Below are 27,198 nucleotides of genomic sequence, written 5' to 3' on the forward strand. Positions count from 1 at the left end.
TCCTCCCTGAAATTCTTTCCTTCTGTTTATATAGCATGTATAGCATTGTGCTTCCCTATTTCTCTTTTGTCTTCCAAAAGCTCAGGTGATGGCCCGCTGCTCTTTTTACCCTGGCTAGTGTGCCTGAGAAACATCTGTCTGTCTCCTTCAGTTTACCAGCCTCACCTTTTTTTTTTTTTTTTTTTTTTTTTTTGAGACGGAGTCTTGCTCTGTCACCCAGGCTAGAGTGCAATGGTGCAATCTTGGCTCACTGCAGCCTCCGTCTCCCGGGTTCAAGTGATTCTCCTGCCTCAGCCTCCCAAGTAGCTGGGATTACAGGCACCTGCCACCACGCCCGGCTTATTTTTGTGTTTTTAGTAGAGACGGGGTTTCACCATTTTGGCCAGGTTGGTCTTGAACTCCTGACCTCGTGATCCACCCACCTCAGCCTCCCACCAAATGCTGGGATTACAGGTGTGAGCCACTGCGCCCAGCCTGGCCCAGCCTCACCTTTAAGCTTCTGATGCTGGTACAGTCGTCTCTGATTTAGTGATTGCTCACATTTTTACTTGGAATTCTTAAGAATTTTTTTTTATTTTTTCAAATTAAATGAGCCAAAAAGAAAAAGGGAAACTCTTTGGTTTTCCCTTCCCTAATTTCTCTTCCTGTCTTCTATCAGTGATAATAACTTCAACTTCTCTAGCACCTCAGCTAACCTGGAAATCATCTTTGGTTCATCTCTTTTTCTACCTTTCATGTCTAGGATAGCAGTAAGTTCTGTTTTTTAACCAAAATGTTCCTTCCTCTTTACAGATAGAAATGACTTGATATCTGAGGTTCCTTTTAAAACAGGGCTGCTCAAAGTTTAATGTGCATAATGGTTTAAGTTGCGTGATAGGGCTCAATTGGAAATCATTATACTAGGCTCTCTGAGGTTTGATTGAAATTTTTCATTATAAAAAGGCAGACTATTTCCTCATTTCTGAAGTCAACACCCATGAAATCTGCCTCTCCTCAGTAACCTATCCTGATTAACTCTGATTTTTTAAATAACTGTCTTATTCAAGAACCATAAGTAGTGGCTTCTTTCCTGCTGCTCTTTTACCTGGCTTTCTGAATCCTCCTTGAAGGTCTGTTACCATCCAGCTTTGTTCTCATAATGTCCCTAGTCTAGCCAGACTGTTCTCACTTTCCCAATAGTTCCATGTCTTCGTTTTCCATTAGATTACCAACCCTTACTCTCCCACACGTGTATGTCTTCCTCATCTGTCAGGTTCACTGCATCCTTTTAAACTTTCTGTTGTTATGACAGCTAGATCACTGAAGTGATCTCTCATTTTTATAAACTTCTAAAGTTGTCTTAGCTTTTTCAGGATAATTCAACTCTGCCCTCAATCTTATGTCACTGGTGGTGTTCATTAATTGCATTATGTGTTAGGCTTTGTACCATCCTAGCCAGAAAGCTCCTTATATTCCCACAGAGCCTAGCAGAATGGCTGTACATAGTACAACCTCAATAAATAATGTAGATTGTTTGACCTATAAACCTTATGGATTGGGGGGAGATGCGGAAAGCATACCGATACAGAAGTATGAATTTAGCTGCTTTTTCTTAAATTTCAGGCTCGTGGTGCAGAGAGCATTATGTTAAACCTGGCAGGACAGCTCATCATGATGCAGAGGGACAGGTCAGGCCCACAGATCCGGGAGAAGGACAGTAACCCTAATAACCAAAGGAAACTTGTGAGTAAAGTACTAGTCATTTCTTTTCAAACATTAAGAAGGTATGGGATGAGGATGAAGGAATGAAACAATTTAAGAGAAGAGTATTTTATGATTTGGAAAGGAGAAATTAAGTCCATAAAATCAGTCTTAAGCCTCTGGGTGTAAGACTGACTGACTGGAGGATAAGGTCCCAAAATGATCATGAAATGTTCCATACTCCATATGTTAACTGCTTAGGCATCATTCATTGCAAATTCTAATGGAAAAAATAGGGATAGACTGGTGAAGTTCATGGGGTGTTTTGTTTTCAGATTTAAGTGTATATACTTTAAAAGGCCAGGATACTTTTATTAACTCTAATTCTAATTAGATCCCTTTGCTTTTCCCAAAAAAATATTATACTATCATTTGAAAGACTTAGTAAACTAGTACCTAGGAACTTAAGAACCTGCAGATTTAATAGGAAAACAACTTGATTCTTGTCTCTCCTTCTCCAGCTGCCATTCTGTCCTCCTGTTGTACTAGCCCAGTCTGTTGAAAATGTCTGGACAACGTGTCGAGCAAATAAACAGAAACGTCACCTTCTGGAGGCCCTCTGGCTGAGCTGTGGTGGTGCAGGGATGAAAGTTTGGCTCCCTCTCTTCCCTAGGGATCACCGCAAGCCCCATTCCTTCTTGTCCCAGCGGATCATGCTGCCTTTCCACATCAACATTTACCCGCTAGCTGTTCTGTTTGAAGATGCTTTAGTCCTTGGTGCTGTCAATGACACTTTGCTCTATGATTCTTTATATACTCGGAACAATGCTAGAGAACAGCTGGAGGTGCTCTTCCCTTTCTGTGTTGTGGAGAGAACCTCTCAGATCTACCTCCACCACATTCTACGTCAACTTCTGGTCAGAAACCTTGGGGAGCAAGCCTTGCTCTTGGCCCAGTCCTGTGCCACATTACCTTACTTCCCTCATGTGCTGGAGCTCATGCTCCATGAAGTACTGGAAGAAGAAGCTACCTCACGGGAGCCCATTCCCGACCCTCTGCTTCCCACTGTGGCAAAATTTATCACTGAGTTCCCCCTCTTCCTGCAGACAGTTGTCCATTGTGCCAGGAAGACCGAATATGCCCTGTGGAATTACCTTTTTGCAGCTGTTGGAAACCCTAAGGACTTGTTTGAGGAGTGTTTGATGGCTCAGGATTTGGACACAGCTGCCTCTTACCTTATTATCTTACAGGTAACAATTCTCTTCTTATAAAGGGGCAAGAATTAATGAGCTTAAACTTAGAAAAATAGAAATGTCCTGTTTTGACACCATGATTGTGTTTAAGGAATTCATAGTCAAATTTTCTGTTTATATCTTTAATTTGGAAGAATTCAGACAGATTCCTTTGAATATCATAAAGTAACATTGCAGAGATATTTTTTCCATTGTCCATAAATAGGCCTAAAACAGATTAATGAGTTCAGAGTAGTGTTTTGAAATTTTAATATATTGAAGAAATTTAATATGTATATTAGAATACATGTAATAGGAACATGGAAGAAATATTACATAAGATTATTGAAATATTACATAAGAAACATAGCAAAGAAAGTATTATTTGAGATATTAGTGAGTTTGAGCTTCTCACAACAGTAGATTTGTTTCCTTTCAGTGTGGGTTACTGAGGGGACACTTATTAGAGCATGGTCATAACAGAGCACCTTGAGCTAGTCTTCCCCAAAGCAAGCTGAGAAGGCTCAGGCCTGCCACAGCAAAGACCCTCATAGCACACAGTTTTTCTCAAAATAATGGCTTCTTTGCAACTCCTGAAAATTTATTTCATTAGCTATTTGACAAAAGGGCTTGACAGTTGGTTATTTGATAGGCTACACTTAAAGATTCTTTCCAGTTACTGCAAAGTTGTTTCCATTGATGTAAGAAGCTAACCATAAACCTGGTTTCAATCTCTGCCTGAAGCAGATTTCCTGTCAGCTTCTTTGCTTCATGACAATGAACTGAAACCAGAGGAGACACTCAAGCAGAGGCCAGGTGGCCTTGAAGTATGATTCCATGGCTAACCCTAAAGAAAAAGACATAGGGTTTTAAAAATAGAATCAAAATAAATGCAGCTGTTTTTTGGTTCCGGGTCACTCCCTGCAACTTCACTGTATCTCCCTGACAATGTAATTTTTTTCTGCAACAGAATTCCTAAGTTGCTATGGATTGGCAGATAATAATTACAATTACAGTTGTCTATTAGGCACCTTTCCATAAAGACCAAGATAGGCAGGTTAAATTTGTGAAAGAAAAATGGAGGATTCTGAATGTGCAGCAGAACTTTACTACTTGCTATTGCCCAAAGCAAAGATTCTAGTCACATCCTCAGAAAACTCTGCAACAGGAGACAGACCTGACCTATTTTGGAGTCAGGCAAACCTCCCTTTTTTTTCTTCCTTTTCTGCTGATCTTCAACAATTTACTTAACTCAGTTTCCTCACTTGTAAAATACAAATGATATGCCTATCTGCAGAGTCACTGGGAGAAATAAATGAAATGACTTAAAGTATATGTATGCTATCTGGCATGTAGTAGGAGTTTAATAAATTATAGTTTACATACACCAGAAGAGTACTTGCCTCGCTTTTCCTTGTATGGTACTTTTTAATCTTATTATTAAACTAACCCCTGTGGTGGTGTGGCTACATTCTTTGAGTTTAGAAAACGAGATAAAGAATTGCTCATATCTTCCCAAATTGTGTAGTATAAAAAGAATGCTGTCCTGGTTGTTTTTTGTAGAATATGGAAGTCCCTGCAGTAAGTAGGCAACATGCTACCCTTCTATTCAACACAGCACTAGAACAAGGCAAGTGGGACCTTTGTCGACACATGATTCGATTTCTTAAAGCCATTGGCTCTGGAGAATCTGAGACACCTCCATCCACACCCACAGCTCAGGTTAGTTGCAAAAGTTACACATCTTCTCTAGGCCATACACCCACGTAGCATCTTTCTCTAATGGTACTGCATATGGTGTGTAATCCTAGGAACCCAGTTCAAGTGGTGGATTTGAGTTCTTCAGGAATCGAAGCATCAGTTTATCCCAGTCAGCTGAAAATGTTCCTGCCAGTAAATTCAGTTTACAGAAAACACTAAGTATGCCATCTGGTCCCTCTGGAAAAAGGTAAAATAATAAAGAGCCATTACTGCTTTTTGGGCATTCATGACACATTGCATTTCAAGACATTTACAAAATTAGGTCTTAATGGAAACAACTATTTAATCCAATTGCAGTTTCTTTTTCCATTCCCAAAAAGCAGAGGCCACACAGAAGGCTTCCCTTTTTCCTTCCTCCCAAGTTCACTTCAGCACCCTCTGAATAGTTTCTGCCCCTTTTTCTGGAATAGATCTTCATGTACCTGTTCTGAATGTAACAAACTTGTTTAAGACAGAGTCTCACTCTGTCACCCAGGCTGGAATGCAGTGGCACCATCTCAGCTCACTGCAACCTCCGCCTTACAGGTTCAAGCGATTATCCTGCCTCAGCCACCCAAGTAGCTGGGATTACAGGCATATGCCACCACACTCGGCTAATTTTCATATTTTTAGTAGAGACGGGGTTTCAACATGTTGCCCAGGCTAGTCTCGAACTCCTGGCCTCAAGGATCCACCTGCCTCTGCTTCCCAAAGGGCCGGGATTACAAGCGTGAGCCACCCTACCTGGCCAAATGCTACAAACTTTTTTTTCCCATAAGTTACTGGGGTCCAGGTGGTATTTGGTTACATTAATAAGTTATTTAGTGGTGATTTGTGAGATTTTGGTGCACCCATCACCCAAGCAGTATACACTGCACCATATTTGTTGTCTTTTATCCCTCACCCCCTCCCAGCCTTTCCCCCAAGTCCCCAAAGTCCATTGTATCATTCTTATGCCTTTGCGTCCTCATGGTTTAGCTCCCACATATCAGTGAGAACATACTACATTTGGTTTTCCATTCCTGAGTTACTTCACTTAGAATAATACTCTCCAATCTCATCAGGTCACTGCAAATGCTGTTAATTCATTCCTTTTTATGGCTGAGTAGTATTCCATCATATATACGTATATACAAGTTTCTTTATCCACTCGTTGACTGATGGGCATTTGGGTTGGTTCCACGATTTTGCAGTTGTGAACTGTGCTGCTATAAACGTGTGTGCAAGTATCTTTTTTGAATGACTTCTTTTCCTCTGGGTAGAACCCCAGTAGTGAGATTGCTGGATCAAATGGTAGTTCTACTTTTGGTTATTGAGGGAATCTCCACCCTGTTTTCCATAGCAGCTGTACTAGTTTACATTCCCACCGGCAGTGTAGAAGTGTTCCCTGATGGCCACATCCATGCCAACATCTACTGTTTTTTGATTATGGTCATTCTTGCAGGAGTAAGGTGGCATTGCGTTGTGGTTTTGATTTGAAAATGCAACAAACTTTTAAATTACCTCTGATGATAGAGGACCAAAAGGAAGATAGATAAATCTGTAGGTAATCCAAAAGCCTTCTTAAAGTCGTAATTTTACCTTTCCTTCTAATTATACTTTTTGATATAAATTTAGTGCTAATGCATTTGACACTCTTGTGACCTATTGATTAGAGAAGTTATTACACAGTCGGGGAGCCAAATGAATTGTATGCTGGAGACTGAAACTGCTATCACCCATAGATGGGATATTGTCTTCTGAGAGATGACTATGAATTCACACTAACATTATAAAATCATGAGAATTTCCTCTGGTTTGTGAGGCCTGTGTATTCCTTCCTATGTTCTTCTGTTGTTGTCTCATTTTTTTCCTTACCTAATCCTTTGTTTTATATTGTTCATATTCTCTTTTTTTTTTTTTCCCCAGGACAACATGAACATATGTTTATATTCTTACTACCGTGCTTGGGCACATAGTGAGAGCTTATTGAACGTTTGTTATTGTCATGTTTTACTGGGTTTTTTTGTTTTTTGAGATGGAGTTTCGCTCTTGTTGCCCAGGCTGGAGTGCAATGGCTTGATCTCGGCTCATCGCAATCTCCGCCTCCCAGGTTCAAGTGATTCTTCTGCCTCAGCCTCCCAAGTAGCTGGGATTACAGGCATGCACCACCACGCCTGGCTCATTTTGTATTTTTAGTAGAGACGGGGTTTCTCCGTATTGGTCAGGCTAGTCTCAAACTCCCGACCTCAGGTGATCCGCCTGCCTCTGCCTCCCAAAGTGCTGGGATTACAGGCATGAGCCACCATGCCCAGCCTGTTTTACTGTTTTTTAACAAGTGCTTACTACATGCCAGGCCTTATTCTAAGCATTTACATACATAGGTCCTATTTTAAACAACTCTATGAGGGTTATCCACATTGTATAGGTGAAGAAACAGAGGCCTAGGAAAATAAACTTAGTTATGTTCACACAACAAATGAGTGGCAGAGCCAAGATCCGAATCCAGGCAGTACTGCACCAGAGACTAGGCTCTTTACCCCACCACTAAACTGCCTCTCACTTAAAGCACCACATTATCCAGTTACCAAACCAGTTCCCCCACATTAGCTCATGTAAGTCAGGAATGAGAGACTATACTTAGGCAAGTTGTAATTTTTAAAAATTGGTTTCAGGACTGGCAAGGTGGCTAACACCTGTAATTCCAGCACTTTGGGAGGCCAAGGTGGGAGGATTGCTTGAGGCCAGGAGTTCAAGATGAGTCTGGGCAACACAGCAAGATCCCATCCTTGCAAAAATAAAAATACATTGGCTAGGCATGGTGGCAAGTACCTGTAGTCCCAGCTACTTGGGAGGCTGAGGTGGGGAAGATAGCTTGAGCCCAGGAGTTTGAGGTTGCAGTGAGCTATGATCACACCACTGCACTCCAGACTGGGTGACATTGTGAAACCTTGTCATTTAAGAAAAAAAAAGTTGGTATTCTTTTCATATGTCTGCATGACTCACACTGAGAAATTTAATTTCACTTTGCCTCTCTATCCTTAGTTTCTTTGATGTGCTCTCCTTCCCTCTTTTCATTGGGCTTTTCAAATATAGCATAGAGGTTTGCTGCCTTTCTTTCTGTCAGCCACCCATCACCTGCTTCCTGGTCTGACTTCTTCTGTCCCCCTTTTCCTGTTCCCTGTATTCATTCTACAAATGTGTCTTAAGAGCCTTCTGTGTTCCGAGGGTTGTGGTGTAACACGGAGGAGAAGCGTTGATACTTTATCTTCATTGTCAATCAGAATTAGATCTTGGATCTCTTATCTCCTTGTCAGCTTTATCAGTACCTCTGCGTAATAAGGATGTGAAATCCTCCAGTAAAGATTATTCTGTAGCTTTCTTGTGTTTCCACTTACAGATGGAGCAAAGACAGTGACTGTGCTGAGAACATGTATATTGACATGATGCTCTGGAGACATGCTCGGCGCCTCTTAGAAGATGTGAGGTTAAAGGACCTTGGCTGCTTTGCAGCCCAGCTGGGCTTTGAACTAATTAGTTGGCTATGCAAGGAACGTACCCGAGCCGCCCGGGTAGACAACTTTGTAATAGCCCTGAAGAGACTCCACAAAGATTTCCTGTGGCCACTTCCAATCATCCCAGCCTCTTCTATCAGTTCTCCTTTCAAAAATGGAAAATACCGAACTGGTAATGTAGACTTCATGTCACTTGTACAAGGAGAATTGTATTTTACTCCGTGTATTTACACATTTTGCTATTAGTTGATATTCAAGGAATTATTTTCATTCCAAACTTAGGAATGGATAAAAGCCAACTTTTTGTACATGAGTTGGAATGCCCACTGTTTGACCAAAGATGTAAATAAAGTAGAACCTATGTCTCTAAGTCTTGTGACCTTGAAGTCTAATTCAAAAATCTAATCATACTTGGATTATAAAGAAGTTGAGAACTGCCTGAATATAAAAGCTACCATGCTTATGTTATTGTGGGAAGGAGTTCTGGAATCAGATAGACATGGACCTCAAAGTAAGCTGACAGAACTCATTCCAGGGGAACAGTAAGGCCACCTTCTAAACTAGGAGAGGACAAACTGAAAGTGTATATTTTGGTGAAATAAAAATTTAAAGTTTTTTAATTCAGGACTTTTTATGAAGACTGTTCTAATTATTATTATTTGTGAATATTGAAACCAAAACTTTTAACTTTGGCATTTGGAAACTTCATGTTATCTTAAGAGCCAAAGCAAATCACTTAGAAGATCAACATAATAAAGTTTTGCCTAGCTCCAGTAAGAAATAGGATGATATAACTTTTAGGTGGTATTGTGGTCAGTCCATTGTTACACAATCCCATGTCTCTAGTTTTGGGGTGGCTGATACAGTACAGGACAGTAATTGCCTTTGAACTGTTCTTATTGGGTAGGCAGGTAGGGGAAGCTAAAAGAGCTGAATTGAAAATGTCAGTGTGTGCATCTTCAATTTCTTCCTCCATTTTTTGTTTTCGGACCCACTCTGCAGTGGGAGAGCAGCTGTTAAAGTCTCAATCAGCTGACCCATTTTTGAACCTTGAGATGGATGCTGGCATCTCCAACATCCAGCGAAGTCAGAGCTGGCTCAGCAACATTGGCCCCACCCATCATGAGATAGACACAGCTTCATCCCATGGACCACAAATGCAAGATGCCTTCTTGTCACCTTTATCTAATAAAGGTAAATGTAATTTTAAATCCTAGCTCTTCAGTTCCTTTGAAGAAAATTTATGTGCTATAGCACTTCAGAGATAGACCTTCATTCTTTTTCTATCGTGATGGAGGATTAACCATTTGTATCCACTGGAGAGGTAGAAAGTTTGTAGAACAAGGCCAAACTGGCCTTGACTGTACTTTGCCATATTTATTTTATGTGAACAAAATAAATAGTACAGATCAACATTAATAGATGAATCTTTGTAAATCAATTTTGATGATAAGGAAACACTAACTTTGAGCCCCAAGTAAGCAAAATGTTATCCTCATATAAAGAATTCCATTTTTATCATAATTAGATGTGGATCATAACAAATTTTACTGCATTATCATTTTTATGTTTTTTATTTATTTTTCTTTTGGAATATGTGAGGAGGTAATGTTTTTTATTTCATCAATAAAAATTGTGGACATTTGCTTTTTCTCTTGCTATATAAGTTCCTACATAATATCCTTGATTTTGCCTCTTGGCCTTAAAAGCTTGTAGTATTTACTATCTGGTGCTTTTACAAAAAAATGTACACCAACCTCTGCTCTGTAGTAATGGGTAAATCACAAACTGAAGAGGTTTTGAAGCAATTTGTGTTGGCATAGGGTTATATAGTATAGGAGCTTAAACAACAATTTGTCTGAGTTTGCAGTTTTTTTAGTGGCCAGGCATTTGTCTAATGTTTGATTATCAGTCTGTCATCACTATTACCTGAGCTTCTGCTATGTGAGGAGGCTTACAGATCTCATTAGTTTTGTTTTAAATTGTGGTAGAATACACAATTTAACAGCTTAACCGTTTTTAAGCAGAGTTTGTAGTGTTAATTATGCCCACATTGTTCTGCAATCAGCCTCCAGAATGCTCTTCATCTTCAAAACGAAAACTCTGTATATGTTACTTAATAACAGCAGCTCCTCATACCTTCTTCCCCCAGCCAGTGGCAACCACCATTTTATTTTTTCTCTCTGAATTTGACTATTCTAGGTACTTCATATAAGGAAATCATATAGTGTTTGTCTTTTTCTGACCAGCTTATTTCACTTAGCATAATGTCCTCATGTTCATCCTTTTTGGAGCATGTTTTATTCCTTTGTATGCAGATACCACGTTTTGTGTATTCTTCTGATGATGGACACTTGGGTTGCTTTTACTTTTGGCTATTGTGAATTATGCTGCTGTGAATGTGGGTATATAATATTTCTGTGAGACTCTGTTTTCAGTTATTTTGGGTATATATATCCAGAAATGGGACTGCTGGGTCATAATTCTACTTGCATTTTTTTTGAGGAATCGCCATGTTTCCCATAGCAACTGCACCATTTTAAATTATCAGCAGTGGACAAGGGTTCTATTTTCTCCACATCTCACCAACACTCACTTTCAGTTTTTTGATAGTAGTCATCCTAATGGGTGTGAGATGGTGCCATCACTTTAGAAAACTTTTTTCAAGAGATAATTTCAAATATATTAAAAAGTACAGTTAATAATATAGTGGGTTCTCCTCCCTCCCCCATGTGGCCGTCACTCAGCTTACATCACTAATGGCCACATATGTTTGTTGTACCTCCCCACTCTTGTATTAACTGAAGAAAATCCATGACATATTATCTATAAATATTTCAGTTTTTTTCCTACAAGGACTCTTTAAGAATTATGACCAAAATACCATTATCATCCCTATAAAAATTTGATAATTCCTTGGTACCATCAAATATCCATTAAGTATTCAGATTTCTAATTGTTTCATAGACATCATAATTTTGTATAGGTTAAGATTTAAATAAGGTTCACATATTGTGATTGTGTTCTTAATTCTCTTTTTAAGTGGATGTTCCCCCACCCTCTCCTTTTCCCTTCCTTGCAGTTTATTCATGGAAGAAATTTGGTTTTGTGGATTTTCTCACAATAATGATTTTGCTTATTACATCTCCATGGTTTAGTTTAACAGTTTCCTCTATTTCCTGTAGTAGCTGAATGTAAAGACTTGGTCAAACTCTAGCTAGATTTTATTGAGGGAGTTGGGGAAGACTGCTTCATAGGTGGTGGTAGTATATTTTTCCATCTAAAGGTACATAATGTCGGTTATCTAATTCTTTCTTTAAATGTTTTCTATGTTCACATGGTAATTTTAGCCATGGATTTCATGTTTTAGTTTCAAGATCCTGAGAAATCAACATCTGAGGAACAGCTAATATTTAAAATTAAAGGAAAATATATTTTCTCCACGAAGTTGGTTGTAACTTTTGGCAATTCTTCATCAGGTGATGAATGCAGTATTGGTTCAGCCACAGACTTGACTGAAAGTAGCTCCATGGTGGATGGCGACTGGACAATGGTGGATGAAAATTTCTCTACACTCAGTTTAACTCAGTCAGAGCTGGAGCACATTTCCATGGAGTTGGCCAGTAAAGGGCCTCATAAATCCCAGGTCCAGCTTCGGTGAGTTTCTTGGCTATTTGAAATCACAGAATGCCTACTCAGAGTATTTGGGCAAATAGGTATGGGGCTACTCTCCTAATAATCATTGCACTTCTGTACATCTTATAGATCTTTCTTAGCATAAATCATTTTGTTTCTGCTTATATTTAGGTATTTGCTACACATTTTCATGGAGGCAGGGTGCCTAGACTGGTGCATCGTTATAGGCCTGATTCTTAGAGAATCCTCAATAATCAATCAGATTTTGGTTATTACACAGTCTTCAGAGGTAGATGGAGAGATGTTACAGAACATAAAGACAGGGCTCCATGCAGTGGACCGATGGGCCTCTACAGACTGGTAAGTGCTGCTTTCCTTAGGCTTGGTGTCCTTCCATGTCTTTTGGTGAATCCTGTCCTTTCACATTAAGGCCTAGTTATGGTTCATGTGTTACATTTTATTTATTTATTATATATTATTTATTATATGTTCATTTTTAAGCTACTTTCTTTAGTAATCATTCTATACCCAGCTATTTAAATGGATAATTCCATCGAGTAAGGTTACACTGTTGGTCAGTGTATAATTTATAGTGTGAATGTATATCACTGACTTAAGATTGATGCAGTGCAAATGAGCTTAGAATTAGACTGGAACTTCAGATTTGCATCCCTGTGAAATTGAAAGCAATGGTCTACAAATATCTACTTGAAAAGATTCAAACTTAAGGTCCATGTGAATTTAACATTCCATGGCAGTTACAAGCAAATCCAAATTAGAGTTGTGGTTGCAGTTAAGAGCCTTGGACTCTAGCCCTGTCTTTATTACCAGTTAATGTGTGTATTTGGAGCTAGTTACTTCCCTTACTTGGATCTGGTTTTCCTTAATTGGCAAATGCATTTAGGTTAAATGTTGTCTGAAGGTCCTTTTTCAAGTCTAAGCTCCTGTTGGCCTTTCAATTGTAAAATATAATTTTTAGTTGTAATACTGGTTCTAAAACATCAGCCTTTGCCCCTAATGCTTAGAAACTTAAGCCTCAGGCTTATGCAATGTGCAGCCCCCTCTGCTGGGCAGGACAGCCAAGAAGCCTTTCCTCCCTACCTTCTTTGCCTCCTCTCTCCCCTCCTAATCTATCGTCGTCTTTACCATATCAATGTTCAGTAGAAGTTCACCCGTAATGTTCTACCAAACCTTTTGAATTATGGCAGATGAGCTAATGTTTTTTTTCTCTACATAGTCCTGGATATAAGCCATTTTTAAACATCATTAAGCCACAACTGCAGAAGCTCAGTGAGATAACAGAAGAGCAGGTCCAGCCAGATGCCTTCCAACCAATAACTATGGGTAAGACTCCAGAACAGACTAGCCCCCGGGCAGAGGAGAGCAGGGGCTCCTCCAGCCATGGAAGCATCCCCCAGGGTGAAGTTGGAAGCAGCAATATGGTCAGCCGGAAAGAGGAGGACACAGCCCAAGCAGAGGAGGAAGAACCTTTTCAGGATGGGACTTACGACTGTTCTGTGTCCTAACAGTGAGGTTCCATCACAAAGGGGCAGTATTAATTAGCAGCAGCGTGCAGCTCAGTACGTTGTAACATAGTTGGATGATTTAACAGGAGAACTCAGTTCAGAGACTCTTCGGTAAGTATTAGTAGATTTTAACTAATTCTTTCTTGTCTAAGAAATCTTTTTGACTCCATAAAAATGTGATATAAAGCATCTTTCATAAAAAAATTTTAAGCTGCAGTGAAAAGTAAATATTGTACAGATGTACATGAGAATATTTTGGTTTTACTCAAAGGTTGGTAGCTCTTAAACCACAGGAATTGTTTTGCCCCAGGTGAGCTTACTTTTTCACTACTTACATCTTCTCACATTTCCCGGTTCTGCATTATGTCCAGATTGCTTTTTAAAAAATAAATGCTAAGGTGCTTGCTATAGTCTGTCAGGTACTTGAGCTACCTGTTTGCTCCCTTGGATACAGCTGGACTCTTTAATCAGTCCTCCTGAATAGATTGCTACCCTGGGGCACAATATGTGCCAGTGTGATGGAAACATTCTCCTTGGCTTTACTAGCCAGTCAAATCCCAGTCCAGAATTGATGGAAGCTATTTACCTGTGAGTTAATGTGCTTGTTTTAGCAAGCTTGATTCCCATTAGACCAATGTGGGCAGAGGTCTGAGGGGGTTCTTCTCAATTTTGCTGTTAGATACCACTAAACTATTTTGTATTAAAGAACAGTATCTTTTTGTGAATACTCTTGTGTAAATATATTCAAAGGCACTGTTCATATTTTAGGGCTTGTATTATAATTTGCAAGGTTTTAATGCTGGATTCTGCATGTCTACACATACAAAGACAGGGCTTGCTCCTCTGCAAAACTGAGGAAGACAGGTTTATTGGCTTGGTCATGAAGTAACAGAAATGGTCACACTGATCATGAAATGCAGCAAGTTTTGTGCAAATTAACATAGTCTCTTATTTATTGCTTTTGTAAATTGAATAAAGATGGACTTCTATGTAAATAGACTGCTGAATCCTGTATTACCACGGCTACTAAAAATTAGTGTGTAAAGAATGCATTCTTCATTGTAAACTTAAAGTATTTTATGTACTTCTAGAAATGACTTAAATTTGTTTTCATACATTATGAAAACAACTGCATACTCCTTAATTGCTTTAAACACCCATCCACTGTATGTAATTCTAATTACCTTATAACAGTATTAAGACAGCTTGTTTGTACTGTGCAATTTGAACAAGGAATGCAATGTTATTTTTTACAAAAAACAAACTTGTTTATTTTTATAATAACGATGTATTTGATGTGGACCAAATTCGTACCACTATCTAAAATAGCCTCTTTTCTCATAGTGCAGTTGTAGTTTAGAAACAAAACTTGGTCCTCTCTCCTTGCTTTTTAAAGTAAATGGCTAGATTTAGTTGTCTTAGCCAGGTTTCCTTTGAAGAGAAACTCAAAACCATTTTGAAACTGCTTAGTTCAGAATACATCGAAGTATTTAAAATTACTGAGTTGGGTAATTTACTATCATTTACTTTTTACATTACAAGTGCAATAATATTTCACAAAATGAAACTCCCGAATGGGTGGAGTATGTGATTATTGGTACCTGGTCCTTCTGGTGCTATTTTTATTTAAGTCTTTGTTTCAAACCACCTTTCCCTGAATCTTAAAGATAATGTTTTGCATGTGAGTACATGCAGCCCAGCAAGAAACTAAACTGAACTCTCTTCTCCTATCCTAGTCCATTAAGGAGAAGAACCAGCATTGCTTTTGTGTTTGGTGTGAATATTCAGTCAATAAAAATGATTTACCATTATAAAGAGCTGTGATCTTTTCAAGTATCTGAAATAAAACACTGTGCTGCTGAGTTCATCTCAAACATTCTTGAAAGCAGGGCACCAGTATAAGTTAACTGTATTCCTGTGGGTTAGGCCGTGAATGAATCATTTCTTTTATACAATATTCTTTTACAACTAATAGAGATAGGAGGCCCCCAGGCAAGAAGTTTGGCAGGTTTACAGAAAATTTGGTAATTTATTTGTTATATACCTTAATTTTTAAAAACCCATTTTTATTGTGGTGTTTGGTTCACATATCAACTGTTTAAGCCATAATTTTAGCCAATGAATTTAAATATTCAGTATAACTATTTGAGGTTTACTAGATGCATTTATTAATAAATTATTTGCTGAAACCAAAACAAGTCATTGGGGGTGTGGGAATAAAATCAACCTTTGCTTGTAATTAAAGTTGCTGCTATTTCTGTAATGTGTATTTTTCTCCCCTTGGTAAAGGGCAATAAAACCATTACACAAACTTTGGTTTATTCATCATCTCAGGTTAACAGCCACGAAAATCATCTTTTCATTATATAATTCTGCTTCTTAGAATTTTCCTTATGAAATGAAATTCAGACAGATTTATTTAAAATATTTATTTATATGTAGATTTAGAATGACAGCATCAAGAGTTCGCAACATCCTAGATGCCTGACAGTAAAATACTGGAGGAAACAGCCCATGTCGATGACATGGAAAATGTTCAAAATATAATGAAGGAATGACAGAAAATTATGTATACCTTAAGATACCTACCAAGCAAACAAAATTTTACATGTAAGTATAGAGGAACCTAGGCGTCATTTCTAATAAGCGGGATTAAAAAGTACTTTGACTTTTTCCCATTTTCCTAATTTCAGTCTCCATGGATTTGCCTATTCTGGACATTTCATATAAATGGAAACATATAGTATGTGAACTTTTCTATCTCACTTCTTGGCACCAAAGCATGTTGTTATTTTGGCTGTAGCCATCCAAGTTGTATATGAAGTAGTGTCTCATCATAGTTTAGATTTTCATTTACCTAATGGTTAATGTAAATCTTCTCGTAGGATTATTAGCCATTTGTCTATTTTTGAAGAAAAATGTCTGTTTAATTAGGTCGTTTCATTGTTGACTTGCTGGAGTTCTTTATATATTCTGGATACTACTCTTTTATGTACATATAAATTGCAACTATTTCTTCATTCTGTGGGCTTTTCACTTTTTTAGGTTTCAATATTCAAGTTTTTTTTTTTAAGTAATGTTAATTACAGCATTTGAAGGGGAGGATCTAATTCCACACAAAATGGAAGACTCTAAAATGTACCCATTAAATACTGCTAAAAAAAAAAAACAAATTGAGTGGTGAGAATACAACAGAAGTCTGACTTAGACTGAGTGTTGTCAGCATGTGATTACAATCACACGGACTCTGAATCATTTCACTTTCTCCATAATGTCCTTTGAAACACTGTTTTTAAGTCCAACTTATTTTTTCTTTGGTTGCTTGTGCCTAATCCAGGGTTATGAATATTTACGACTAAGTTTTAAGAATTTTATAGTTATATCTCCTACATTTAGGTCTTTGATCCATTTTGAGTTAATTTTCATATATGATATGAAAGAGAGATCTGACTTCGTTCTTCTAACGTGGCTATTCAATTGTCAGAGCACCATTTATGGAAAGGATTTTTTTCCCATTGTCAAAAATCAACTATAGAGGTATGGGTTTATTTATAGATTCTTAATTGTATTCTAATGATCTATAATATCTTCTTATGCCAATACCACATTGCCTTGATTTCTGTTGCTTTGTAGGAAATTTTGAAAGCGAGAGTCCTAAGTTTGTTTTTTCTAGGTTGTTTTGGCTATTCTAGGTCCCTTGTATTTCCATATGAATTGCAGGATCAGCTTGTCAATTTCTATACTAAAATAAAGGCAGTTGGGATTTTCATAAGCGTTGTATTCATGACATAAAGCAAATGTGGAGAATATTGCCATATTAAGCCTTCCAGTCCATGAACATGAGATGTCTTTCCATTTATTGGGTTTTTAATGTCTTTTAACAGTGGATTATAATTTTTGCTAAGTCTCATACTTTTGTTAGATTTATTTCTAAGTATTGCTACTGTAAAAAAAATGGAATTTCCTGTTTTTGGATTGTGTATATAAATACAATTGCTTCTGTATATTGACATTGCATCATGCAACATCAAACTTTTTCTTTTTTGTGGATTCCTTAGGATTTTCTACATTGAAGGTCATGTTGTTTGCAACCAGAGATAGTTTGAACTCTTCCTTTTCAATCTGGATGCCTTTTCTTTCTTTCTCCTGCCAAACGGTCCTGGCTAGAGCCACTAGTACAATGCTTATTAGGTGGCAATAGTGGATATCCTTGTCTTCTGATCTTAGGGAGAAGCTTTCTCTCATCACTAATTATGATGCTAGCTGTGGGTTTTTTATTGATAAGCTTTATCTGGTTGAGGATGTTGCCTTCTGTATAGTTTGTCTTTTACAAAAATCCAAATCCCTTCCATGATAAAAACACTCAACAAACATACATTGCATCTACTGAAGTAGTCATGTGGTTTTTATCCTTTATTCTATTAATATGGTACATTACACTGATTTTCAAATGTTTTTGTTTTAAGACAGAGTTTTGCTCTGTCACCCATGCTGGAAGGAAGTGGCGCAGTCATGGCTTGCTGCAGCCTCAACCTCCTGAGCTCAAGCCATCCTCCTACCTCAGTTTCTATAGTAGCTGGGCCCACAGGCACACACCACCATGCCCTGCTAAATGTTGTGTTTTTAGTAGAGTCAGGGTTTTGCCATGTTGTCCAGGCCAGTCTCAAACTCCTGGGCTTAAGCAATCCACCCACCTTGGCCTCCCAAAGTGCTGAAATTAAGCATGTGCCACTGCACCTGGCCAACTTTCTGTTAAACCAACCTTGCATTCCTGGCATAAATTCCATTTGGTCATGCTGTAGAGCCAAACTGGAGGAAAAAAAAAATTATTACCAACATGTTATGTTTTTACAAGTCAAATATGGAAGTAGAAGTGTCAAAAAATACACTGATACACTCCAAAAATCCCTACGTATTTAAACTAAAAACAGACATTAAGAGCCATAACTGGGATTGCTGGCAAGATGGCTGAATAGGAACAGCTCTGGTCTGCAGCTCCCAGCGAGATCGACACAGAAGGCGGGTGATTTCTGCATTTCCAGCTGAGGTACCTGGTTCATCTCACTGGGACTGGTTGGACAGTGGGTGCAGCCCTGTGAGGGTAAGCCAAAGCCAGGGTAGTTCGTTGCCTCACCTGGGAAGCGCAAGGGGTCGGGGAACTCCTTCTCCCAGCCAAGGGAAGCCATTAGGGACTGTTAGGGACTGTATCTTGCAATCCAGCCCAGATACTGTGCTTTTCCCACAGTCTTTGCAACCCGCAGACCAGGAGATTCCCTCCAGTGCCCACGCCACCAGGGCCCTGGGTTTCCAGTACAAAACTGGATGGCTGTTTTGGGCAGACACAAAGCTAGCCGCAGTTTTTTTTTTTCATACCCCAGTGGCACCTGAAACACCAGTCAGAACCATTCACTCCCCTGGAAAGGGGGCTGAAGCCAGGGAGCCAAGTGGTCTGGTTCGGTGGGTCCCACCCCCACAGAGCCCAGCAAGCTAAGATCCACTGGCTTGAAATTCTTGCTGCTGGCACAGCAGTCTGAGCTTGACCTGGGATGCTCCAACATGGGGGGAGGGGCGTCCACCATTGCTGAGGCTTGAGTAGGCAGTTTTACCCTCACAGTGTAAACAAAGCCACTGGGAAGTTCAAAATGGGCGGAGCCCACTGCAGTTCAGCAAGGCAACTGCAGCCAGACTGCCTCTCTAGATTCCCTCCTCTCTGGGCAGGGCAACTCTGAAAAAAAGGCAGCAGCCCCAGTCAGGGACTAACAGATAAAACCCCCACCTCCCTGGGACAGAGCACTTTGGACAAAGGGCAGTTGTGGGCGCAGCTTCAGCAGACTTACTTAAACGTCCCTGCCTGGCAGCTCTGAAGAGAGCAGCAGATCTCCCAGCACAGCATTGGAGCTCTGATAAAGGACAGATTAACTCCTCAAGTGGGTCCTCCCAGTAGGTGCCAACAGACACCTCATACAGGAGAGCTCTAGCTGGCATCTGGCGGGTACCCCTGTAGGACGAAGCTTCCAGAGGAAGGAACAGGCAGCAATCTTTGCTGTTCTGCAGCCTTCACCAGTGATACCCAGGCAAACAGGGTCTGGACTGGACCTCAAGTCAACTCCAGCCAACCTGCAGCAGAGGGCCTGAATGTTAAGAAGGAAAACCACCAAACAGAAAGGAATACTATCAACATCAACAAAAAGGACGTCCACTCAAGAGAACCCAGCTGAAGGTCACCAACTTCAAAGGTAGATAAATCCACGAAGATGAGGAAAAAACAGCAAAAAAAGGCTGAAAATTCCAAAAAGCAGATCACCTCTTCTCCTCCAAAGGATCACAACTCCTTGCCAGCAAGGGAACAGAACTGGACAGAGAATGAGTTTGACAAATTGACAGAAGTAAGCTTCAGAAGGTGGGTAATAACAAACTCCTCCAAGCTAAAGGAGTGTATGTTCTAACCCAATGGAAGGAAGCTAAGAACCTTGAAAAAAGGTTAGATGAATTGCTAACTAGAATAACTAGTTTACAGAAGAATATAAATGACCTGATAGAGCTGAAAACAACAGCACGAGAACTTCATAAAGCATACACAGGTATCAGTAGCCGAATTGATCAAGTGGAAGAAAGGGTATCAGAGACTGAAGATCAACTCAATGAAATAAAGCAAGAAGACAAGATTAGAGAAAAAAGAGTGAAAAGAAACAAACAAAGCCTCCAAGAAATATGGGACTACGTGAAAAGGCCAAATCTACATTTGACTGGTGTACCTGAAAGCCACAGGGAGAATGGAACCAAGTTGGAAAACACTCTTCAGGATATTATTTAGGAGAACTTCCCCAACCTAGCAAGGCAGGCCAACATTCAATTCAGGAAATACAGAGAACGCCACCAAGATACTCCTTGAGAAGAGCAACTCCAAGACACATAATTGTCGGATCCACCAAAGTTGAAATGAAGGAAAAAATGTTAAGGGCGGCCAGAGAGAAAGGTCGGGTTACCCACAAAGGGGAGCCCATCAGAGTAACAGTGGATCTCTCAGCAGAAACTCTACAAGCCAGAAGAGAGTGGGGGCCCATATTCAACATTCTTAAAGAATTTTCAACCCAGAATTTCATATCCAGCCAAACCAAGCTTCATAAGCAAAGGAGAAATAAAGTCCTTTACAGACAAGCAAATGCTGAGATGTTTGTCACCACCAGGCCTGCCTTACAAGAGTTCCTGAAGGAAGCACTAAACATGGAAATGAACAACCAGTACCAGCCATTGCAAAAACATACCAAATTGTAAAGGCCATTGACGGTATGAAGAAACTGCATCAACTAACGGGCAAAATAACCAGCCAGCATCATAATGGCAGGATCAAATTCACACATAACAACATTAACCTTAAATATAAATGCGCTAAATGCCCCAATTAAAAGACATAGACTGGCAAACTGGACAAAGAGTCAAGACCCATCAGTGTGGTGTATTCAGGAGATGCATCTCACATGCAAAGACACACACATGCTCAAAATAAAGGGATGGAGGAATATTTACCAAGCAAATGAAAAGCAAAAATAAAAGCAGGGGTTGCAATCCTAGTTTCTGATAAAACAGACTTCTTTAAACCAACAAAGATCAAGAGGGACAAAGAAGGCCATTACATAATGGTAAAGGGATCAATGCAACAAGAAGAGCTAACTATCCTAAATATATATGTACCCAATACAGGAGCACCCAGATTTATAAAGTTCTTAGAGACCTACAAAGAGACTTAGATTCCCACGCAATAATGGTGGGAGACTTTAACACCCCACTGTCAATATTAGATCAACATGATTGTATATTTAGAAAACCCCATAGTCTCAGCCCAAAGTCTCCTTAAGCTGATAAGCAACTTCAGCAAAGTCTCAGGATACAAAGTCAGTGTGCAAAAATCACAAGCATACCTCTACACCAATAACAGACAAACAGAGAGCCAAATCATGAGTGAACTCCCATTCACAACTGCTGCAAAGACAATAAAATACCTAGGAATACAACTTACAGAGGATGTGAAGGACCTCTTCAAGGAGAACTACAAACCACTGTTCAATGAAATAAGAAAGGACACACACAAATGGAAGAACATTCTATGCTCATGGATAGGAAGAATCAATATTGTGAAAATGGCCATACTGCCCAAAGTAATTTACAAATTCAGTGCTATCCCCAACAAGCTACCATTGACTTTCTTCACAGAATTGAATAACTACTTTAAAGTTCATATGGAACCAAAAAAGAGCCCACATAGCCAAGACAATCCTAAGCAAAAAGAACAGTGCTGGAGACATCACGCTACTGACTTCAAACTATACTACAAGGCCACAGTAACAAAAACAGCATGGTACTGGTACCAAAACAAGATATATAGACCAGTGAAACAGAACAGAGACCTCAGAAATAATACCACACATCTACAACCATCTGATCTTTGACAAACCTGACAAAAACAAAGAATGGGGAAGGGATTCCCTATTTAATAAATGGTGTTGGGAAAACTAGCTAGCCATGTGCAGAAAGCTGACACTGGATCCCTTCCTTACACCTTATACAAAAATTAACTCAAGATGGATTAAAGACTTAAACGTAAGACATAAAAACCCTAGAAGAAAACCTAGGCAATACCATTCAGGACACAGGCATGGGCAAAGACTTCATGACTAAAACACCAAAAGCAATGGCAACAGAAGCCAAAATAGACAAATGGGATCTAATTAAAGAGCTTCCGCACAGCAAAAGAAACTAACATCAGAGTGAACGGGCAACCTACAGAATGGGAGAAAATTTTTGCAATCTATCCATCTGACAAAGGGCTAATACCAGAATCTACAAAGAACTTAAACTTACAAGAAAAAAAAAAAACATCAAAAAGTGGGCAAAGGGTATGAACAGACACTTCTCAAAAGAAGACATTTATGCAGCCAACAAACATATGAAAAATAAGCTCATCACCACTGGTCAGAGAAATGCAAATCAAAACTACAATGAGATACCATGTCACGCCAGTTAGAACGGCGATCATTAAAAAGTCAGGAAACAACAGATGCTAAAGAGGATGTGGAGAAATAGGAACTCTTTTACATTGTTGGTGGGAGTGTAAATTAGTCCAACCATTGTGGAAGACAGTGTGACGATTCCTCAAGGATCTAGAACTAGAAATATCATTTGACCCAGCCATCCCATTACTGGATATATACCCAAAGGACTATAAATCATTCCACTATAAAGACACATGCACATGTATGTTTACTGCAGCACTGTTCACGATAGCAAAGACTCAGAACCAACCCAAATGCCCATCATCAATGATAGACTGGATAAAGAAAATGTGGCACGTATGCACCATGGAATACTATGCAGCCCTAAAAATGGTTGAGTTCCTGTCCTTTGCAGGGACATGGATGAAGCTGGAAGCCATCATTCTCAGCAAACTAACACAAGAACAGAAAGCCAAACACCGCATGTTCTCACTCATAAGTGGGAGTTGAACAATGAGAACACATGGACACAGGGAGGGGAACATCACACACCAGAGCCTGTCAGAGGGTGGGGGGCTAGGGGAGGGACAGCATTAGGAGAAATACCTAATGTAGATGACAGGTTGATGGGTGCAGCAAACTGCCATGGCACATGTATACATATGTAACAAACCTGTACATTCCACACATGTACCCCAGAACTTAAAGTATAATTTTAAAAAATTTAAAAAGAGTCGTAACTGCATCTTGGCTAAAAACAAATGTAAATAGCCATAACTGCATCTTGACTTTATTGGCCCTAAAAGAAGAAGAGGAGTATTAGGTTAGAAGTTGTTCAGCTGCTTCACCTTGCATTGAACTGTTCTGAGAGAATTCACTCAAAGTTTAAATAACTTGCACAGAGATCTCTGAACTCAAAGTTCATGCTCTATTTTGGTGAGTGGTGGTGCCCTTTCCTTCTGTGGAGATTAGAATAAGCAATGAGTCACTCTGGCTGAAAGGCAACTTCTTCCCTCCCTCCTACCCTTACTCCCAAATAAAAGAACGCCCTTTACCCTTTGCTATTTTTTTGCTAATGGGGATGATTTAAAACTCCTACATAGGTGAAGCTCAACATTTACCTAATAATTTCTGTGAAATTCAGAAGTACCATTTCATTCTAAGATAAAGGATTCTAACTGAAGTAAACATTTCCATGTTGAGTTCTTTGCTCACATGAGCCATCTAGGTCTTTTAACAGCAATTAAAAGGCTCTGTGGACATGGAATAACCCTTGAAAATATGGGGATACAGAAGAACACAGATCTGTTTTTCAGTTAAAAAGATACCAACCAGTATATTAAACAGTTTATTTCAGTAACATTGTAAGGCAACAATTAATCCTCAGTAAGTCAGCAAACCAGTGACAAGAAATTGACAAACACTCCTTCTACAGCTTCCTGAGACAGCAGGCTGGCTTGTGGCCCCCTGGGTGGTAACATCTTAAGGAATCCTATCATGTTTGTTTATATATGCTAAACTGTAAAAACAAACACTTCATGCGACAATCATTCTTAGGTCAAACACAAGAACGAACTATTTTGAAATCAATTCCTCACACTTTTTCCCTGAATATGCAGTACTGTACTACTAACATCTAATTCTGTAGAAAATAATGCATTTGTTAGTGACTTTGTTAGAGCTTGAAAAGACCCTTTTAGAAATTATTTAAATGATCACTCTTTAAAAATTTTTTTTAATCTCAGAATCTACTAATGTGACAGACAAACGGTATGCTTAACAGAGTCATAAATACTGTGTATAATTGCTTGACCATTTCTGGCATTTAAATGACCTCCCAGAATATTACACAAGCCCTGAGACTAGTGAGCATCTTACTACTGACCTTGTACAATACCAAAGCTTCATAATGCTAAAGAAAACCAAAACAAAAGACAATGGTTTACACAGGGAAATAACCCTAAGGCAATATGAAAACAGTCATAATTTATTACTGATAAAGAGTAAAGGCATCCTTCCCATAGAGGGGGGGAATTCACAGGGAACACTAATTATATCAGATGAACCACGGGGATAGAAAATAGGCCCATTTTTAAAATTCATTGAGAAATTATTACTTTTTCTCCACAACTGTGATTCTATACAAAATATAAACCCTGCAAACCTTATGTGCTACCTGACAGATAAAAGTAGCAGGAGCCAGACTCTTGAAGCACTTGAGACTGATTTCTACAAAGTCCAGGAAGAGCAATGATTCCAGTGTGCAGTGCTGATGCATGTGTGAGCCTAACATGTTATTCAGCTCTGGTTGCAGCCCCATCTACATGGGCCCAGTTAGTTTTTAGGGAGTCACAGATTAGGCAGGCAACGAGGGGCATGATTTAAAAAGCACATCATACACATGAGACAAGCAGCTTCAAGGACGTTTTCTCCGGCAATGCATACTTACTGTGCTCTTTCTATTCAGACAGATCCACAGACCACCTTTCAAGAGCATTCCTCTCTCATTTCCTCCATCACCCAAGATAAATCTAGCCACCCTTTTTTGTTAACTGTGCCTTTTCTTTCAACTTTTTGTCCTTGTTAAAACTCAAAATTTGTCCAACGTTTCACATTTCCTAATGATAAAAAGAAAGCTTGCACAGTTTACCATTGATCTCACCAATGCCCTCACTGCTGGAACCAAAAAGCCATGAGAGGTACTGCTGTGATACACCTTACAAGCTACATAGCCATCTTCAAAATGAAAACCACCTTTTAAGTCCTCATGCTGCCATTACGCAGGATCTGAACCACCTACACGTACAGTGGTCTCATTCCAGTATAAGCCACAACCTCAAGTCTCAGGAAAGCCAGTCTGCTGGATAGTAAGTTACTGAGAAAAACTAATCTATTCAACTGGCTGGAAAACAAAAAGATAGGCCCAGTGCATCAGTAAGATTATACCATGAAGGACTAACCTTGTATAACACAAGACTCCTATGAAACAAAGAAAAGAGAATAAATATTTATAAAATTCCCACCACTCCCAGCCTTCCTTCTACCCCAGAATAGCCCAGATGGCAGCTCAGTGCTCTGAGGAAGGAAGTTAAGGTCATGTACTGGCACAAACAATATTCTGAACCAAAAGAACCTACGAAAACCAGAGGGGTATGTGGCCAAATATTCCCCTTTTCAACTTGGTAAGATGGAGAGGGGTAACAGACATGTTTCAGAGGAAAACAGGCATAGAAAACCACCTCAGGAAAGCAGCACAGCAGTGCATCTGTGTGTCCACTTGTCAGGACAGTGAGTCACCAGCTCAGCACAGGGTCCAGGCCTCAGCACAGAGAGACAAAGCACATTTGAGAGGCTGCCTGAAGAAACAGCTTGACACAGGCTACAGCCTCAAGAGTGCAATGCTTCTCTCCCAGCCCTATGGCAATCACTTTCCAGTGACCTACACAGAGTTATATTCTCAAGGGGAATCATTACCTCAGTGAATGATATTTTACCCACCATCCACTAATACAACAAATGGTTTTGGGGCTTAAATTGGAAACAACTTTTGTCTCATTAACAATGCTCTGACAGTGTACATCTTTCTTGATCCTAAAGGGGCAGCTATTGAAGTGGATTGTTGGCTTTGTCCTTAAGGTCATATAAAATGACGTGTGTGTAGTGGCAGTACCCACATGTGCTGAAGTGCCAAAAGACTGGCATTTTCAAGTGTCAACAGGCCATGCATCACTGCGCCACAGCTAAACCCTTATAGTGCTTGGCCCTGAAAAGCGTTAACCCAGAAAGCTCTTTGAACATATGATCATTAAAATTCATTGACTTACGTTACAAACATCCACGTAACATAGGGAGAAACCATGTCACATGGAGTATCCACTGGGCATGTACTTAGAGCTCATCCACAAGATTAAAATACAAAGAGATCGTAGGTGCACACCCAGGCAGAGGGAAATGTCCAATCTGGGAACTTTTCCTTCAGAGCATCCAGTTGAGGGGATCTCTTGTCTTCCCCAGACAGATAGTGGGCAGCAATGGCCACGGTGACCATTCCTTCAGGATGTTCTTCTGAAACCTGCCAGAGAAAATCAATTAGTTCTCCAGTTCTCAGAAGCCAGAATACTGAACCCAAGGTTCTTGCTAAATACCACCTGGGAACCTAATCAATGAAACAAACAATGCTGGGAAATTGGCACCTGCACTTCTATCCAGAACTGCCATGCAGAGGCCTGGAGTCCATGGGAGTAAAAGACAAAGTAGTCTCCTCCTTTACTTGTGACTGGGGTGCCATTGCCAAGAGACCACTGAGAAAGTGTTGACCCTTTGTGGGCTCGAACATAGAAGGACATATGGCTTGGTCCTGTAAGGTAAAAGGAAGAAAGAACAGTTAATCTTTTTAAAAGGATCAAAAAAATAACCCACAATCCAAACCAGACTTCATAAAGGTTCATGCCTGCATGACTTTAAATATACTTACTATAAACCTAATGGAGGTTTACCAGTTTGGACACTTAGTGTGAATCAACAAGGTTAAATAATGAGGTACAGGAGAAAAGGCACAGACTGTAAATGAGAAAGCCTGTGTTAAGTTGGTCCTATCACTTAACTGCTGCATGACATCAGGAATTTAATCTATGTCACAATTTCTTCATTGAGGGGATTATATTAGAAAAAGCATATGAAAGTGTTGGCAAAACTGCGAAGTGCTGTAACAGTACTGAATAGGACTGCCATTATGAATGGAGTTGTAATTTTCAGAGTTGATCATGTAACACCTTAAAATATGTTTTACTAGTTTTTCCCTTCAAGCTGGAAAATATTAGCTCAGTTCTGAAAATTTAGTCATCACTGGGAACTTCCAAGGAAACTGATGACAGTGGAAGTCAAACTAAAACTAAAATAG

At 39.5% G+C, this 27,198-nt stretch overlaps 2 protein-coding genes across 21 annotated transcripts in view, besides 1 other annotated feature; one reads left to right on the top strand and one right to left on the bottom strand.

Annotated features, from left to right (window-relative positions):
* RIC1 (RIC1 partner of RAB6A GEF complex) overlaps nt 1–17,695 on the top strand; it is a 149,527-nt gene extending 131,832 nt beyond the window's left edge. For 11 of the 16 annotated variants that reach the window (NM_020829.4, NM_001206557.2, XM_005251523.4 and 8 more), the window contains 9 exons: nt 1,603–1,722; nt 2,202–2,930; nt 4,476–4,634; nt 4,724–4,860; nt 8,032–8,318; nt 9,149–9,340; nt 11,626–11,803; nt 11,954–12,142; nt 13,020–15,619. In NM_020829.4, coding sequence (NP_065880.2) covers nt 1,603–1,722; nt 2,202–2,930; nt 4,476–4,634; nt 4,724–4,860; nt 8,032–8,318; nt 9,149–9,340; nt 11,626–11,803; nt 11,954–12,142; nt 13,020–13,308 — 2,280 coding nt within the window. In that variant the 3' untranslated portion in view covers nt 13,309–15,619. Of the gene's footprint in view, nt 1–1,602; nt 1,723–2,201; nt 2,931–4,475; nt 4,635–4,723; nt 4,861–8,031; nt 8,767–9,148; nt 9,341–11,625; nt 11,804–11,953; nt 12,143–13,019; nt 15,620–15,750 lie in introns of those variants that run through there. The other 5 variants (XR_428426.4, XR_007061331.1, XR_007061330.1 and 2 more) reach the window with 2 other exon arrangements.
* Nucleotides 1,470–2,669: an enhancer, noted in NCBI's record as "CDK7 strongly-dependent group 2 enhancer chr9:5762408-5763607 (GRCh37/hg19 assembly coordinates)". NCBI's record gives its function as "activates an origin of replication core promoter dependent on BRD2, BRD4, P300/CBP, MED14 and CDK7 cofactors, with strong dependence on CDK7, by STARR-seq in HCT116 cells {active_cell/tissue: HCT116}" and the evidence as "EXISTENCE:reporter gene assay evidence [ECO:0000049][PMID:35650434]".
* Nucleotides 17,696–23,633: 5,938 nt separating the features above from the next.
* ERMP1 (endoplasmic reticulum metallopeptidase 1) overlaps nt 23,634–27,198 on the bottom strand; it is an 82,520-nt gene continuing 78,955 nt past the window's right edge. For 4 of the 5 annotated variants that reach the window (XM_017015139.3, XM_047423898.1, NM_001410952.1 and 1 more), the window contains 2 exons: nt 26,492–26,655; nt 23,634–26,370 (listed from right to left, as the gene is read on the bottom strand). In XM_017015139.3, coding sequence (XP_016870628.1) covers nt 26,206–26,370; nt 26,492–26,655 — 329 coding nt within the window. In that variant the 3' untranslated portion in view covers nt 23,634–26,205. Of the gene's footprint in view, nt 26,371–26,491; nt 26,656–27,198 lie in introns of those variants that run through there. The other variant, XM_047423897.1, reaches the window with a different exon arrangement.

This window comes from Homo sapiens, chromosome 9 (genome assembly GCF_000001405.40).
Source record: "Homo sapiens chromosome 9, GRCh38.p14 Primary Assembly".
Taxonomy (NCBI): domain Eukaryota; kingdom Metazoa; phylum Chordata; class Mammalia; order Primates; family Hominidae; genus Homo; species Homo sapiens.